This window comes from Homo sapiens, chromosome 1, assembly GCF_000001405.40.
Source record: "Homo sapiens chromosome 1, GRCh38.p14 Primary Assembly".
NCBI lineage: Eukaryota > Metazoa > Chordata > Mammalia > Primates > Hominidae > Homo > Homo sapiens.
This window is the reverse complement of record NC_000001.11, coordinates 75,303,997-75,320,206: the sequence shown is the minus strand read 5'-3', so window position 1 is coordinate 75,320,206 and position 16,210 is coordinate 75,303,997. Positions and strand designations below refer to the sequence as shown.

The window sequence follows — 16,210 nt, the reverse complement described above, 5'->3', positions numbered from 1 at the left end:
CTTTGAGGCAGCTGGTAGGTAGCTTTTACTAAATTTAAATGTACGCTTCTGTGTAAACCATATTACACTATAAGCTTAGACGTCCTACATTCTTGACTTCCCAGAATATTTGAATTATGTATAATAAACACATTTTTATGTTTTTGAGTAATTATCTCTTCTTTAGGCTAGGAAGGTCTGTAAGATTTGAAAAGGATCAGAGTGAAGATGGTGCAGAGTAGGAGACTGGGGAAGTAGAGAACAGATTTTCCAATTCACGTACAAAAGCCAAGCATTTAACAAACTTAGGAAAATGAAATAAGAATATTTCACAGCATTTTCAACAGTTAGGTATTTTATCCTCTGTTTCCTTTACTTAAGTCTATTTTTTTCCTCTTCTAGGATACATTTTTATTTTATCTGTTATATTTTGAAAGCCTTCTGCTGAGCTACTCATGATATATGATCATTATACATTCTATTCCCTGTGATCCATGCTAAGACAATCCAAACTATAACCCTTCATTATAGTTAAACACACATATTTTTGTCTGTTCTCCTCGCCAGAATGATGATAGTAGAAAGGCAGAAATGCCGTCATAGTCTTGCCTCTTGTGGGGTTTACAGAATATAGTTCAGGAGAAAAAAAGGCAGAACTTGGGTCTTGGACTTAAGATCTTTTTCTTTCACTGTCTTTAGAACAACTGATAATGATATAAATATATCTATAATAAAAACATTTTAATAAAGTTAAGAATTGTTCACCTTTCAGTATCACTTCTGGGAATAAACAGATTGAGAGCTATCTATTATTGAGGTCCATGCTGCAAATAAAATCAAACTTCAAAAGTTTTATAACAAATTCAACCTATTATCCTGGGATTATGTTTATAAATTTTTCTACCATCTGAATTGATATGGCATCTACAACAAATGCTATTTCCTGTAAGCTAGTCATATATTCAGAGAGAATGTTTTTGCCCAGGGATTGGGGGTAGGGAAAGGAAGGAAAGATTGTACTTTTCTTTTGTACAAATATTAATGTATCGCAAAGCACACAAAAGTCTTTACAGAATCATATGGAGCTAAATAAAAATCAACATAATGTACTGTTTACCAGCTTGTCATCTAAATGTCAGCATAGCTAGATTTTTATTGGGGCCTTATTATTTAATAGTCTTGATGTGCTTTGGAGAACTAAGCACATATCTCTGAAGATTTACATATTTGCAGATCCAGAAAGGCCTTGAAAATATGAGCTGGGGAGATGTGCGTTGGCAGGGGGGGTTGGGAGTGATATTTGAACTGCATATTTGAAATGAAGAATGCTAGATTAACTTTAAATACTGGTGTTGAAGGACAGGAAGCAGGGCTTTGCCCTTCATTTTATTCTGGTGCTCAGTTCTCCATAGAAGACAGCTGCCAAAAGTACCAAAGAGACCACAGAACAAGGCAGCCACAAAGAGTTGTGCTGGCAAAAATGAAGCTTAGAGTAGATTATTCAAGAGCTATCCAAGGGTAATGCTTCCACATTGAAAGCCAGAGGACAATGTAAGTTAACCTGGCTTATGTGTCATTCTTTTGCCTCTTCTGAGATTTTGTTTATCCCAAGATTCAAGGACATGAATCCTCAAGTTCCTATATGAACTTGTCATAGAACTGCATTTTTATCTGACTTACTGATCTGTGCTTTTGCATAAAATAAAGCAGATCATCTGGCTTAAAATTAAAAATATACTAACAAAAGTAAAATACTTAATATTTCACTTTTATCTATACATCTATACAGCAGATTTCTTTCTTTCTTTCTTTCTTTCTTTCTTTCTTTCTTTCTTTCTTTCTTTCTTTCTTTCTTTCAAGAGATGGGATTTTGCCCAGGCTGGAGTGCAATGGCACAATCATCACTCACTGTAGCCTCGAACGCTTCAACTCAAGCAATCCTCCCACCTCAGCCTCCCAAGTAGCTAGGACTACAGGTGTGCGTGACCCTGTGTGACTAATGTTTTTATTTGTGTAGAGACGAAGGTCTCACTGTGTTGCCCAGACTGATTTTGAAACTATGGCCTCAAGTGATCCTCCCACCTTGGCCTCCCAAGTTGCTGGAATTACAGGCATGAGCCACTGAGCTCAGCCCTATAGAGCAGATTTAAATGACCAACTTCAACTGTATCTTTTAAAAGAGGTTTACTGTATGCAAGAGGGATGGCACACCCAAATGAGAGTAGGTTCTATTCTGACTACACTAGGAGAAATGCTACTTACCTGGTGTAATGGACTGAAGGTTTGTGTCCCCCAGAATTTGTATGTTGGAGCCTTAATCCCCAAGGTGATCGTATTTGGAGGTGGGGCCTTTGGAGGTACTTAGGTTTAGAGAAGGCCATAAGGGTGGGTCCTACTGATGGGATTAGTGACCTTATAAGAAGAAACCAGAGAGCTAGTGCTCTTTCTCTGTGATGTGAGGATGGAGCAAGAAGGAAGCAGCTGTAAATCAGAAAAGAAGCCCCTCACCAGAACCTGACCATGCAGGCACACTGATCTCAGACTTCACAGCCCCCAGAACTGTCAGAAACAAATGGCTGTTATTTAAACCAACTAGCCTATGGTATTTTGTTATAGCAGCCTGAGTTGGTTAAGACATCTAGGATGTTCACTCTGCCCACCCACCAGAATAGTGCTTTTAAATTGTGTATCTTTCTTAAGAACCTGTCTTTAATTGTGTGTGAAAGGGATTTCATGAAACCACAAAAACATTGAGAATAAGCGACTGAACCCAACTAAGGAATTTGCTACATTTAATTTTCTAACTAATTTTTATCTATTCCAGCAACCAGTAATATGTAGGAATCAGAACACTATGTCTCTGGCATTAAAAATTCCTATTCCCTTCTCACTCATGTGTGGGGAAACTGGCTGAGGCAGAGCCTCGGTCCTGGTTTAAGTCCTTCTTAAGTCTAAGTCCGGCTGTGGCCCTGATGCTGCGTCTTTCACTGACCTGCTGTGATCTTGCACCTCTTGTCTGCACCTAGATCAGTCCATGTTAAATGACACTTTCCTGGTATCAGAGATGATTGAAAGATTGGAACATACATAGTCTCTTGGTTTAAAATCGTACTTTTAAAATATGCAATATCCTAAGTGCTCACTTGAAGTTTTCTACAAACTTCATCTCTTCTATTTCTATTGTTCTTGGGATTTTCCTTTTGAAAAGAATTTTGGTTCAAATGTTATCAAAAACAATCTGATATTGCCTAGAAATGATTTGCCCTCTGATTGCTGCCTAATCTTGTTTGCTGCCTTCTGGGATTTTGCTGGCTCAACCTTACACATTTGCATTCATGTGGGTTATATATGCACATCAAGACTTACTGTGGCCATGTGCCCTGGTAGTGAATAAGCATTTCTTTCATAGCCATATTAAATCCATCTGGTAAGAACAAATACATTACCCAGTAAGAAGCAAAGGGAGAAGGTGATATAAAATGAGAAAAGAAGCATTGTAAAATATGTTAAATCAGAATACTAACCCTCCTTCTACTTTTAACCAAAAATTTTACCAGCTCCTTTGTATAACAAATTCGAAAGAAGTCCATTCATTTATCTAACAAATATTTATTAACTACTGATTATAGAAGTAAAGATATAGAGTTAATTAAGTTCCAAGTTCTACCCTGAAGTTTCCCGTATTCAAATGATAGAGACAAGTAGGTACAAATAATTAGAACACAGTGTTATGCCAGAGGTAAGGGAGCATCAAAGAGGGAACTGCTCTTTAACCTAGTGTGGCAAATGATTGCTTCACAGAGGTGGTAACATTTAAGCTGGCTTCACAGAGGTGGTAACATTTAAGCTGGGTGTTGATGATGTTTTAACAAGTTTTAAGGGTGAGAGAGCTTTCAAGGCAGATAGCCATTATTAGTTGAGCCATATGAAATTGCCATTTTTAAATGTCAAAAACAGGTAAAATACATCAAATGCATATGGTTCATCAAGATAAAAAGCCACTAAGATTTTGGGAATGCAAAGGTTGTATGTGAGAGTGGACGGAAGATAAAAAGTAATTTTGAGCAGCTTAGCAAGGGCCAGACTAAGAAATCTGGATTTTATTTTGTAAGCAATTGAAAGTCTCAAAATGTTTTGACTAGTGGATTTATATGTCAAGTTATGTATTGTATAAAATGTGGATTAGGGGCCAAAAAGGGCAAGACGCTGTCTGGAGGCTGTGCTATCACTCCAGATATAAGAGATGATGAGGCTTCAACCTAGAAAGTAGCAATGAGATTGGAGGGAAAGAAACAGAACATTGTAGGATGGAGAATCAGCAGGGCTTGTCAGACAACTAAATGTGGAGGATAAGAGAGAAGAGTCAAGAATGGCAGAATTTTTAGCTTGGATGAAAGAGTGAGCGGCGGGCAGAGATAGTTAAGGAGAAGAGAGAAAATCTGGGACCTCACAGAGAAGTAGTAAGTTCGATTTGGAACATTTGAAAATTTAAAAGTAAGCTGGCACTCAGGAGAAAGGTTAGGGTTATTATCATGGCTAAAGTCTTGGAAACTATGGTATAGATGAGATTACTTTAGATTAACAGATAGAATTAGAAGATCATGAGAAAGCCCTGAGGTTTAGGCAAACATTAAGACACAGGTAGAGACAGAACAGTCCACAAGGAAGATTGAGGAGGAGCAGAAGAGATGAAAGACAGTGCATGTGAGAGGGTTTTTCTAGAAGACCAGACGGGATGATTACAAGGATGGAGTGCTAATAATTATGATTTCCTGGGAAATTCATGTTTGGGGGCATACTAAAATTATACCATATATTGTGGTGTTCTGCCTAGTAAAATTAACCAATATTAAATATTATTGGGATAATTTAGACCTTAGAGGTTAGAAAACCAAAGACTTTATAGACTGGTGCAAACTTATTTGTGCCCTAAAGCTTTTTATTTTTAAGCTTTTGTATATAGATGTATAAATAATGATGGTAATAATTTATAATCCAATCCATGTCAAAGTTTCAGTTTTCTGTTTCCCTTTCTTCTTTTTAAAACACACATAAATGGACATATACTCCTAACTCAACTTTTTCTATGAGGAGTTCTACGTGCTTTACAAATACTGCATAAATAATCCTGCAGCTCTGTTGTGGATAGAAACAATTGCTTTGTGGTGGTAAGTGGGGAGTTGAGAGACTTGCCAGGTGTTAATTGTAGATAGAATCTAAATTCCCAGATTGTGATTCTCAAGGCAAATCTTTGCCTTAAGGCTCAAGCCCAGATAAGAGACTGTATTCTAGTATATTCTTCCTTTCTCTTTGCAGCATGATGAGACAGAATGACTAAAATCTGCAGTTCAACTACCTAAAATTAATACTTTATTCTTCTAGGAAAACTCTTAGTGAACACTAACTAAAACAAAGCAATCATATTAATTTGCTGCCCAAATTTAAAATCAAATTTGATAGATCTAAATTCTGAAAAGCATTGAGCTCAATAAAAGTGATGATCAAGAATCAGGGATGGTTCAGAGTTATTTGATGCTGATCTCCTGAGAATAGAGCCTAGGAGTCCCAGTTACCATTCTAAATACTTGCATTACTTAAGGTAAATTGAAATTCTTTATGTGCTGGGCATATTTCACTATGGCCTTCTTAAGTCTTTAAGTTGTATCTCACCTATTGTTATTGCCACTACTGCAACCCTAGCATCAATGAAAGTCTAAAGATAGACTGCTTCTCCACACACTTTGGCACATTTTTCCAGTAACTGAAAGATGAAGCAAATGTGAAAGTCTGCAAGTCTTGGAGCTTTTAATAATAAAACATAGATTTCACATGCTTTTTACATCAAAATATGAAAGATGATGCTGGCGTGTTTTTTATTGTCCATGCAAGATAGCATTGGATTACAGGTCGTTCTGTTACCGTACCGGGACCAGGCTGCACAGACACTGAGTTGAGGTAAATTCTCTAAGTCTAGTAAAGGGGGAGACAAAGAGATGCATGAGTCTGTTAAGTGGCTTTTTGGTAGCTGACAAACAGTTGTTGTATTAGAAAGGAATAAACTGTAAATGTTTAAAGGAGGAGAACAATAAAGACCAACGTCTTTAAACTTTTCTCTAGTGTATCTGACTGTTAGGATTATTTAAACTATAAAGTAAAAATAGAGAAATTAAATACATTTAAGGGAAATTAATATCATCATTCACCTTATTATCTGCTTTCTCATGCACATAAGCTACTACTTTTACACTAGGATATGTATCTGCTTTTATATTTTCTCCAGATTCAAACAGATGTTAGCAAGCTTCCTTCACTGTACAACTTTTATTTTCCTTTCCATATAACCACAAATAGTTTTCTGCATTTTTCTTGATCTTGTTTTTCTGATTTATTCTCTTTTGCCTTTTTCTTTCTCAATCTTTAATAACTTCGGATTTTCATCAGGAGCCCTACTGCTTCCTCTCATTTTCTTTCTTCTTTAAATCCCTTTTCAGCTTATTTCTATCTTGGTTTTGTCTTGCTTCTAGATGTCACTTTTATCCTCTTTCCCTCCTTGCTTTTACTCTGTCTTTGCTCCCTTAAATACAGTTGACAAGACCTAGAAACAACACAGTTCAGTAAGTTGTCATGTGTATTGTTCATAATGGACAGTCCACATCCAGGAGCAGTCAAGGCCAGCTCTTTTTTGATCCTCAGGGACTAAAGCCAACAATACAGCAACAACCCCTTATGTCCATTACAGAAAAGACAGATGCCAGCTAACTACATTCACAGCAGAAAACTGAAAAATATGATCTTTGATCTCCAAGAACTTAGAGAAAATATGCTTTTATCAAGTTGATGTAATAAAAAAGTGAAATAGTTTACTTTGAAAACTGTCAGAGAGACAAATATAGGATCTGGTGCTGAAATGATCCATAACCATCGTTTCTTCCCTCTGTGTTAAAAACCGTTAGAGAGAAATCCATTCATATCCATTTCAACCCATGAGGCATCTTTTTGGAGCTGAAAACTCTCCCATGCTCTGACATTTATTTTCACAGTATTCCTGGTACCCGGGAAAACAGACATGTGTGGGAGGCTGATGATGAAGATGAAACAGAACTGGCCCTGGTTTCATTCTCTTCTGTGTTGCTACCACACCGCATTCACCACACACTTCATCCCAATTCATTCTGCATCCTGGTCAAGATAAATCTAACTGAGATAGAACTTTTGTTTTATTACTCCCCCTATTCAAGAACTTCCAATAGAAAATGAACTGAAATTGTAATCAGGAGTGACTTAATTTGTAAAGTGATGTATTAATAACAGCTCTCATATCAACTTTACAACTTGTAATCATCCAAATGAGATAGTATATTTCAAGGTGAGTCATGAACTGTCAAGTCCTTTAACATATGAAATGTTGCGAGTGAACTCCCCTGACAGAAAAGTCCACGCTCCTCCACACTGAGGGCTATTCAGTCACTTAATTGTACCAACCACCTGTTGTGCTGTTGCCCTAGCATGTTTTGTGCTGCTATATATATAATAATGAATAGATTATACATATTATTATATATTAATATATAATAGAATAGAAATTTGTTTGGCACATAGTTCTGGAGTGTGGGAAGTCCAAGATCGAGGGGCTACATCAAAACATGACAGAAGGCATCACATATGCCACAGAAGAAGGACAGGAAAGAACCAAACTCGCTTCTGTAACACCCCCCATCCCCGCCCCAGATATAGAACTCACTCCTGAGACTCCATTCATCAGGGCAGAAACTAATCACCTCTCAAAGATCTCACCTCTCAGAACTGTTGCATTGGAGATTAAGTTTCCAACACATGAACCTTGGGGGACACATTCAAACTATAGCAGCTGCTCTATCCCTTTCTCCCCTGTTGCATCCACACTGGCTGTATTAGTCTGTTCTCATGCTATTAATAAAGACATACCCGAGACTGGGGAATTATGAAGGAAAGAGGTTTAATTGACTCCGTTCCACATAGCTGGGGAGGCTTCACAATCATGGTGGAAGGCAAGGAGGAGTAAGTCACATCTTACATGGTGGCAGGGAAGAAAGAGAATGAGAGCCAAGTGAAAGGGGTTTCCCCTTATAAAACCATCAGATCTCATGAGACTTACTCATTACCATGAGGACAGTATGGGGGAAACTGCCCCCATGATTCAACTATCTCCCACCAGCCCCCCTCATCAACATGTGGGAATTGTGGGAACTACAATTCAAGATGAAGTTTGGGTTGGGGACACAGCCAAACCATATCACTGGCTATCTGTCAGCTCCCAGGACATACCCTGGTCTCACCTGCCCTCAGGGCCTTTGCATTTGCTGTTTCTTCTGCCTGAAATACAAGTCCTACAACCACTTCAGAGACCCCTTCCTTATGAACCCTCTATATGCAGGCCATCCTTAATATTTTCCCTCATAGAATCATGTTTTTTTCCCTAGCAGTTACACAATCTGTCATCATTTTATTGATTGATCGTTACTTATTTATTATCTGTTCCCCAGACTAAACTGGGAACTCCGTGAGAGAAAGCATCTCATCTGTGTGGTTCACCAACGTTTCATAGCATCTGCCACAGTATCCGGCACAAAATAGGTACCTCATTAATCATGAAATTAGAGTCTTTGAAGGCCATATTTCAGAATGGCAGAAAAGAGGATATTAGTAGGAGCTGGTACCTGTTATGTAAGTTGAATTGTAGTGCTTTGTTGTAAGAGAACTGAGACCACTCTGGACAAAATTAAGTATAGATTGCCTAATGACTCATTCCCAACATTAAGATGCTATTTTGAGGGCTGGATGCGGTGGCTCACGCCTGTAATCCCAGCACTTTGGGAGGCCAAGCCCAGCAGATCACCTGAAGTCAGGAGTTCGAGACCAGCGTGGCCAACATGGTGAAACCCCGTCTCTACTAAAAATACAAAAATTAGCCAGGTGTGGTGGTGAGTGCCTGTAATCCCAGCTACTCGGGAGGCTGAGGCAGGAGAATCGCTTGAACCTGGGAAACGGAGGTTGCAGTGAGCCGAGATCGTGCCAATGCACTCCAACTTGGGTGACAGAGAGAGACTCCATCTCAAAAAGAAAAAAAAAAAAGATGCTATTTTGAATATCTTATGTTAAAATGAAAGAGACTAGTACAGTTTGTGATACATTTTATGTCTAATGATTTAAATATATATGCATATATATTAACTTTAAAAATTTATATTTTAATACTCAATGTAATGACAACTGTAAATGTATATATTTACTATGGCTAAATTTAAATTTAAAATTCCATTTCACTGAATATGAATGTCAAGAATTATATAAACAATTGAATATAAGATATAAAATTATTCAGAGTTAAAATCTAACTACTTGCTATTTTGCTGTTACTGATATCAGCTCTAGAACATGGTTTTGCTGGGAAACAAATCTCAGTTTAACTTACTTGAATTCTGTGAAAATATATAATATTCAGTTTTATATTTCTATTTAGTATTTAATAATAGTTGCAAAAAGCCCATATTATTTGCACAATCCATTTGGGTTGACTTGAAATTATTAGAATGGGAAAATCTTATTTTTTGTAATTGTTTAAAATAAATCTCAGTAGTAGCTGTGATATATTCTGTAATTTGTCTCACTCAACATGCATTCCAAATCATATTTTCTCTTGTGTCCGCTAGTAGAGAAGCTGAAAAGCAAAACACTTTTTTAAAGCACCTTCCAGGTAGGGATGGTCATGAGACACAGGAATAGCCAATGAGCTAAAGAGAAAGACTGCCAGGAGGGACTTTCTTCCCTAAATAAAAAAACAAAGACTCTTTGAAGAGATTCAGGTGTCTTGAGTGCAGCAGTCAACTTGTGACATGAGGCATAAACATGAAGACAAATGTCTACAAGCTAAGAATGAGAGGGGTGGAAGGATGAAATGAGTCAAGTCCCTAATGGCATCCCTGGATGATGCACCACCCCAGCTCAGGACTGCCAACTGCAGCACTTCCTGTTGTATTTAACAAATAAATTCCTTGAAATTTAAACCACATTTCTGGCTTTAAGTTTCCTGGTATTTTCAGCCAAGCAAATTCTTAACAGATACATCACCTAGGTACAAATTTAAACTTTATTACATGGAGATTATAATTTCAAATAAACATTTAGGGAATATTTAGTTTTATCTTAAAACCTCTACAAAGTTTGTCTTTTACTTTTGCTAATAATAATGACCCTATTGTTACTAGTAATGCTGTGTTATAGTATAACCAGCCTGTAGATAAAATAGGTTGGCAAATATTCACAAAAAAGAATTTTCGTACTACTTTGGGCTCTAACCAAATGATTCAAATTTCCATTACAATGGTTGGAGTTTCCCATTTTGCTGAACACTTTGAGAACAGGAGAGATACAGCATTTTATGTGTTTTTTAAAATGTCTACAAAATATTGTCTAATGTTCAGATAATATTTTCATTGATCCATTCAATAGGTATGTACCGAATGCCTATGCTTCTTTGCTATGGACAACCCAGGGCAATAACTATTCCTTATTATACTATTTCACAGATTTGTTAATTTTCTTTCCAAAATCTGTGCAAACCTCCCATTCATACTAAAGTTTACCAATAGCATACTTGTATAATGTTTGCTGTTATTTATGTCAAATATGGCATGTTGTATTTACTGCTTTTCTTTGAGGACTGAAATAATTGCCAAAACCAATAAGTAAAATATGCTTATAATAGAGAAATCTTGTTTTCCTTTTTATTATTTTTAAAAATTATTTGAAAAATTTTTTTTAGAGGCAATGGTCTCGCTCTGTTTCCTAGGATGGAGTGCAGTGGCACATTCATAGCTCACTCCAACAGTGAACTCGTGAGCTCAAGTTCCCAAGAAGCTGAGACTATAGGCACATGCCACCACATGCAGCTGATTTTTAAAATGTTTTATGGAGACCAGGTCTCACTGTGTTGCCCAGGCTGGTTTCAAACTCCTAGCTTTAAGTAATCCCCCCAACTTAGCTTCCCAAAGTGTTGGAATTACAGGCATGAGCCGCTATGCCAGCCTAAAACATTTTTTCATATAATTAAATATTGTTCTAAAAGTTGTTTTCAACTTTTCTTTATTATAAACAGTGCAGTGTTTTCAATCTTTATAAATAAATTTTTACTACATCTATAATTATGCCCATGGTATAAATTACTAAAAAGAAAATTACTGGGTCAAAGGGCTTGCAATTTTCTAAGTCCCCTATCATCATCAGGCAATATTTTTTATTTACTTATTAAAATTTGAGGTGACAAATAGTAATCTCCTCACTTTAATGTGTATGCTTTTAATTACTAAAAAAGATTATCATATGATTATTAGGAGACATGCAGTTTTCTATTTTAATAGCTGAATGAGAATTTCCGGAAGTTCATTCATTGTTTTAACAAACATTTTTTAGCACTACTCTGTGTCTACATAGATTCTAACTTATTCCAAAAAGATTAAAAAGTGTTCCAAACAGATATGAATTCCCTTCAACCTTTGTTGATGACTTTGGACTAATGTCCCAAAGCTATCTAGAGCTAGGTCTCTTTGCACCCTGCTGTGTAGTGCCTTTGGTCTACAATGCCCCACCTGTAATATAAGCAGTAACTGTGATCTCGCTTTCACTTTATTAGCATTTGCAGAGTGGTTTCCACCTACTGACAGATTACTGAATATTATACAAGTTTTACACACATGATAATTACATCGTAAAACCAATTTTGTCTTATCTTGCCCCCTTTCAAACAAAAGACACTTTTATACAGGCATCACTTAAACTCCTCTTTGTAAAAAAAAAAAAATCAGGTTTCAATTCTCTTTACAAATGAAAATATAAATCACAGCCAGTTAAAGCTATTCTCTCAAGGCAATGGAAACCCAAATGCAAGCAGTTTAGAATAGAAGACTAATCAGAAGATAGAGAAGCTTTTAAGATCTAATTACTCAGAAGAACTAACTAAAGCAGCTACAATACTTAAATGTTATCTTATATAACCTAATACATTTGAAAGATATTATCAATATTATACTGTTTTTTCATAGGGTATTGAGTCATTTGGTACATTTTGTTTTTAAACAACAGTTTAAAATGTGTTAAAAATAATAATCCTACAAAACCAACACTTCTTTCTCAATGGTTGGATGCCAGGATTATCTTCAAAGGTAAATGTAAATTTAAAGTCATCTTTAAAATTTTTTAGGGCGCTTAAAAAACTTGTATTAATATCAAACACCTGAAAATACAGGTTCATGTAATTAAAAGCTCATTTGTGCCTTTCTATGAGGTTTCTGATTTCAGTAACAGAGCGAAATTCTTCAAGATAATCTTTAACCTCTTATAGAAACAGCCAGTGTAACTTGCCTTCTAATAAAATCTCAGCTCTCACATACACAAAGAATGGTGTGCGGCATAACCTCAAGCTGTGGATTGGGGAACAGAACAACAAAGAACTGTCAGACAATGTATGTGGGAAGAAGAGAAACTGGAACCAAGGGGGTGGATACAATTAATGCTTTCAAACGCAAGCTCTTAGAGGATGTCCCTCTCAAAAATCACCAGATTCTCTATTATTCGTGAGAAGTAGGGGAAAAAAGGGAAAATATTTTTAACTTACATGGATCTCTACTCCTAAATACTTCAAAATAGAGTCCAGCTGACACTGACTAGTAGCAACTCAGATGATCTAATTCACAGCATGGTCTGCAGTTTGCCAAACGTATCTCAGTGAAGCTTGAAAGATGGCCCCAAAGTGCATTATCCTCTAATAAAGCCTGTGGGAAGTGAAGCATTCATTCTGCTTCCTGGGACAGACTTTTGTGGTAAGAATCAGAGCAGTAACAGATGACTGAATGGCATCATTCAGGTGCCAACAGAACCACAGAGGACCAATGCTTCTAGACTTTGGGTTATAAATGCAGCCATGTTGTAGACAGATGTACCCAGGTGACACCAACAATTTTCAAATGAGAGGTGAGCATCCGACTGGAATCACAGGCAGTGGACAGTCCCTAAACTGATTCATTAGGCACAAACGGATGATCTGTCAGAGAATAATGACTTTTAGGACTTCTGTTCTCACTCTAATGCTTGATATTAATGACCTTTCAGGATGGTTGATATCATTGGAATTTCATCTGCCACAAAGAAAGGAAACCGGCCGGGCGCGGTGGCTCACGCTTGTAATCCCAGCACTTTGGGAGGCCGAGGCGGGTGGATCACGAGGTCAGGAGATCGAGACCATCCTGGCTAACACGGTGAAACCCCGTCTCTACTAAAAAAATACAAAAAAAATTAGCCGGGCGTGATGGCGGGCGCCTGTAGTCCCAGCTACTCGGGAGGCTGAGGCAGGAGAATGGCGTGAACCCGGGAGGCGGAGCTTGCAGTGAGCCGAGATTGCTCCACTGCACTCCCGCCTGGGCCACAGAGCAAGACTCCGTCTCAAAAAAAAAAAAAAAAAAAGAAAGGAAACCAGTAAATGAATCAGTTTCTGGATGAGAGTAGAAAGCTGTCCCTGAAAAGGAAGCAAAATGACAGTTGTTGGAGAATAAGAGCTAGTGTGAAACCAAAATATGCACTTATCAAACAAAACTCTCTTATTACCTCTAAATTAAATCTAATTGGTTTTTTTTTTGTTTGCATTTGTTTTTTAGTGATTTATTTTACTGGAGATAGCAATGTCCAGATAGCATGTTTAAGCTTGACCAAAAATTTGAATCTCTAAGCAACATATTCACTACAAAAAATAAAAAAGATCTGAAATTTGAAACACAGCATTTTGATTTTTACCAGGCCCTGTTTATGATGCATTAGACTGTCAGTGAAGGGTGCATCTCACTAATAATTCACGGGACATAGATTGTTGCATGTCTGTAGCATGCAAGACTCTGCTAAATGCTGCAATAGAGGACTTTATGGTCTAGGTCAGAGGTCAGTAAACTTTTTCTATAAATGTCCAGGTGGTAAATATTTTAGGTTTTGCAGGCCAGATGGTATCTAATGCAACTACTAAGCCATTGTAGCAAAAGAAAGTAGCCTTAGACGATATACATATATTAGTATTGCTGTTTTCCAAAAATCTTTACTTATGAATGCAAGTTTGAATTTTACATAACGTTTCTAGGTTACAAAATATTATTCCTTTGATTTTTAAAAAATTGTTTAGAAATTGTAAAAACTATTCTTAGCTCACAGGCTGTACAAAAACAGACAGCAAACCAGATTTGGCCCATACACTGTAGTTTGCTGCCCTTGATCTAGGCTATAATAGATTAAATATAGTTGCCTTAAAGATACAAACAAAAGTTCCCTAGGTCTACGGGGATTAGAGAGAGCTCTTCTAGTTGAAAACTTCAAGAAGGAGGTGACATTTCAGCTGACTTGAAGGATAGGATTTTAGTATAGAATGTGGCGATCCACACTGGAGCTTTTTTGAGAGTAAATGGAAACATTGTTAACGGTTATTCTAGGGAAAGAGGTGTAAACCCTGGCTATCCCATGCAAATTGGGACATATGGTTATCCCAGGAGGGGGAGTCTAGAGGTGCTATGAGCAGAGAGCTCTGAGTGTGCCCAAGGGCTGTGTATCATTGTGTGAAAAAGTCCAAATTGGTTAAAACACATTAAGAAGGAATAATGGGAGATACAGCTAGAAAGGTAGCCTGGGGCTTGAATTAGGATTGATCTTGGTCCTTAAACATGAAGTGAAGATATTTGAAAACTATTAAATAGGTAATGGAGAGGTCCTGCAATTTTTTAAACAGTAAACTGACTCATCACATATCAGTAATATCAGTGATGTGCAGACCGAATTGGATCAGGCAGAAACTACTTGCAAAATCCCAATTAAGAGACCACGGCAATAGTCTGAAGAGAGGATTAAAAACCCTGGACTAAGTCCAGGCAACATCAATAGAAAGAAAGGGGTGGATGAAAGACACATCAGAGAAAAGGAGTCAAGAGAACTTGTCAATTGAATATAAAAGATAAGCTAACAAAAAGGGAAAGTCAAAGACAACTCCCAACACTTTAAGTCTGGGTGATTATAGGCATACAATATTTGTGGATTAGAGGTAGGAGGAAAGGGAAGTCTGCACATGCACATGTAATTGGAATCCTATTCTTATTCTTTTAATTTGGAAAATAGATATAAGGTAGCAATAGTAGTTCTGTAGTTTAACTTTTGAAAACACTTTTATGCCAGAGAAACACAATCTGAGTAAAGTTTTGAGTGGCTCTGTGATAAATGGGGGTGTGGGCAGCTTGTTTTGAGAAAGCGGGACTTTGATTTGGAGGGAGGGTGAGGGAGAGAGTTGGGCAACTGTCTCTGTAACTATTCTTTCTGTCTTCTTTCTGGGACCCAGTGGGAAGCAACCCATTTTTAACTTAGTACAATGGTTCATAGTGCTTGCTGTGAAAGTAAAAATGAATCCACCTAAGGAAAAAGTCCAGTTATGACAAGCCTGTAGCTAGAATATGATTCAGAATAATTTTCAGCCATGAGCTTAGATCACCCAGTTATCTCAATAGCTGTCTAAAGAGTTCTGAGAACTATCCCAATTAAAACCTTATTTTTTCTTAAAAAAAGAACTCATTTCCTATAGAACATTTAGGATTGTGACAGATGCTCTGAAATCAAAATAAAGAAACAATGATAAGGCACTACAACGTCTAACACATTTGAATTGAGTTTCTGCTACTTTCCTTGACTCACAAAATGGTGCCCAAGCTATATTTTGATTTGTTCACATTCAATTTTCCGGTAACTTTCTAAGCACTAATTATATTTTTAGAGAGAATATATCTGAGGAAAGGGAGAGAAGCAGATAAATTAATGGAAAAAATAGCAGGTAATTATAATTACCTGAAAGTACACACACACACACACACACACACACACACACCTATTTAAAAATTTTTCTAAAACAATAAAGTGAATCAAGTTGCTACAGAAACAAATTTAGAAATACTAATGTCTACTACTGGGGAGATTTGAGTTCTTGGTTTTTGTTCAACCACCTTCTCTGGTTAAGTAAGACAAAATTAACCAGTCTGGCCATAGGGTATGGTCTGCCATTTCTCTAAAGCAGTGTACCAGAAAAACAAAGCAGACTTTTTTTTTTGGATATTTATATCCTTTATTTGTATGCATATAGTAAGCATTCCATACAAATTTGTTTTGTTTAAGGGATAAAGCAATC

General features: G+C 36.9%; 1 protein-coding gene across 13 annotated transcripts in view; it reads left to right on the top strand.

Annotated features, from left to right (window-relative positions):
* SLC44A5 (solute carrier family 44 member 5) overlaps positions 1 to 16,210 on the top strand; it is a 521,887-nt gene that overhangs the window by 403,809 nt on the left and 101,868 nt on the right. For 3 of the 13 annotated variants that reach the window (NM_001320287.2, NM_001320285.2, XM_047449167.1), the window contains one exon: positions 8,502 to 8,592. The exons of the other annotated variants lie outside the window; for them this stretch is intronic. The gene's annotated coding sequence lies outside the window, so the exon portion shown is untranslated. The remainder of the gene's footprint in view (positions 1 to 8,501; positions 8,593 to 16,210) is intronic. 13 annotated transcript variants of the gene reach the window in all.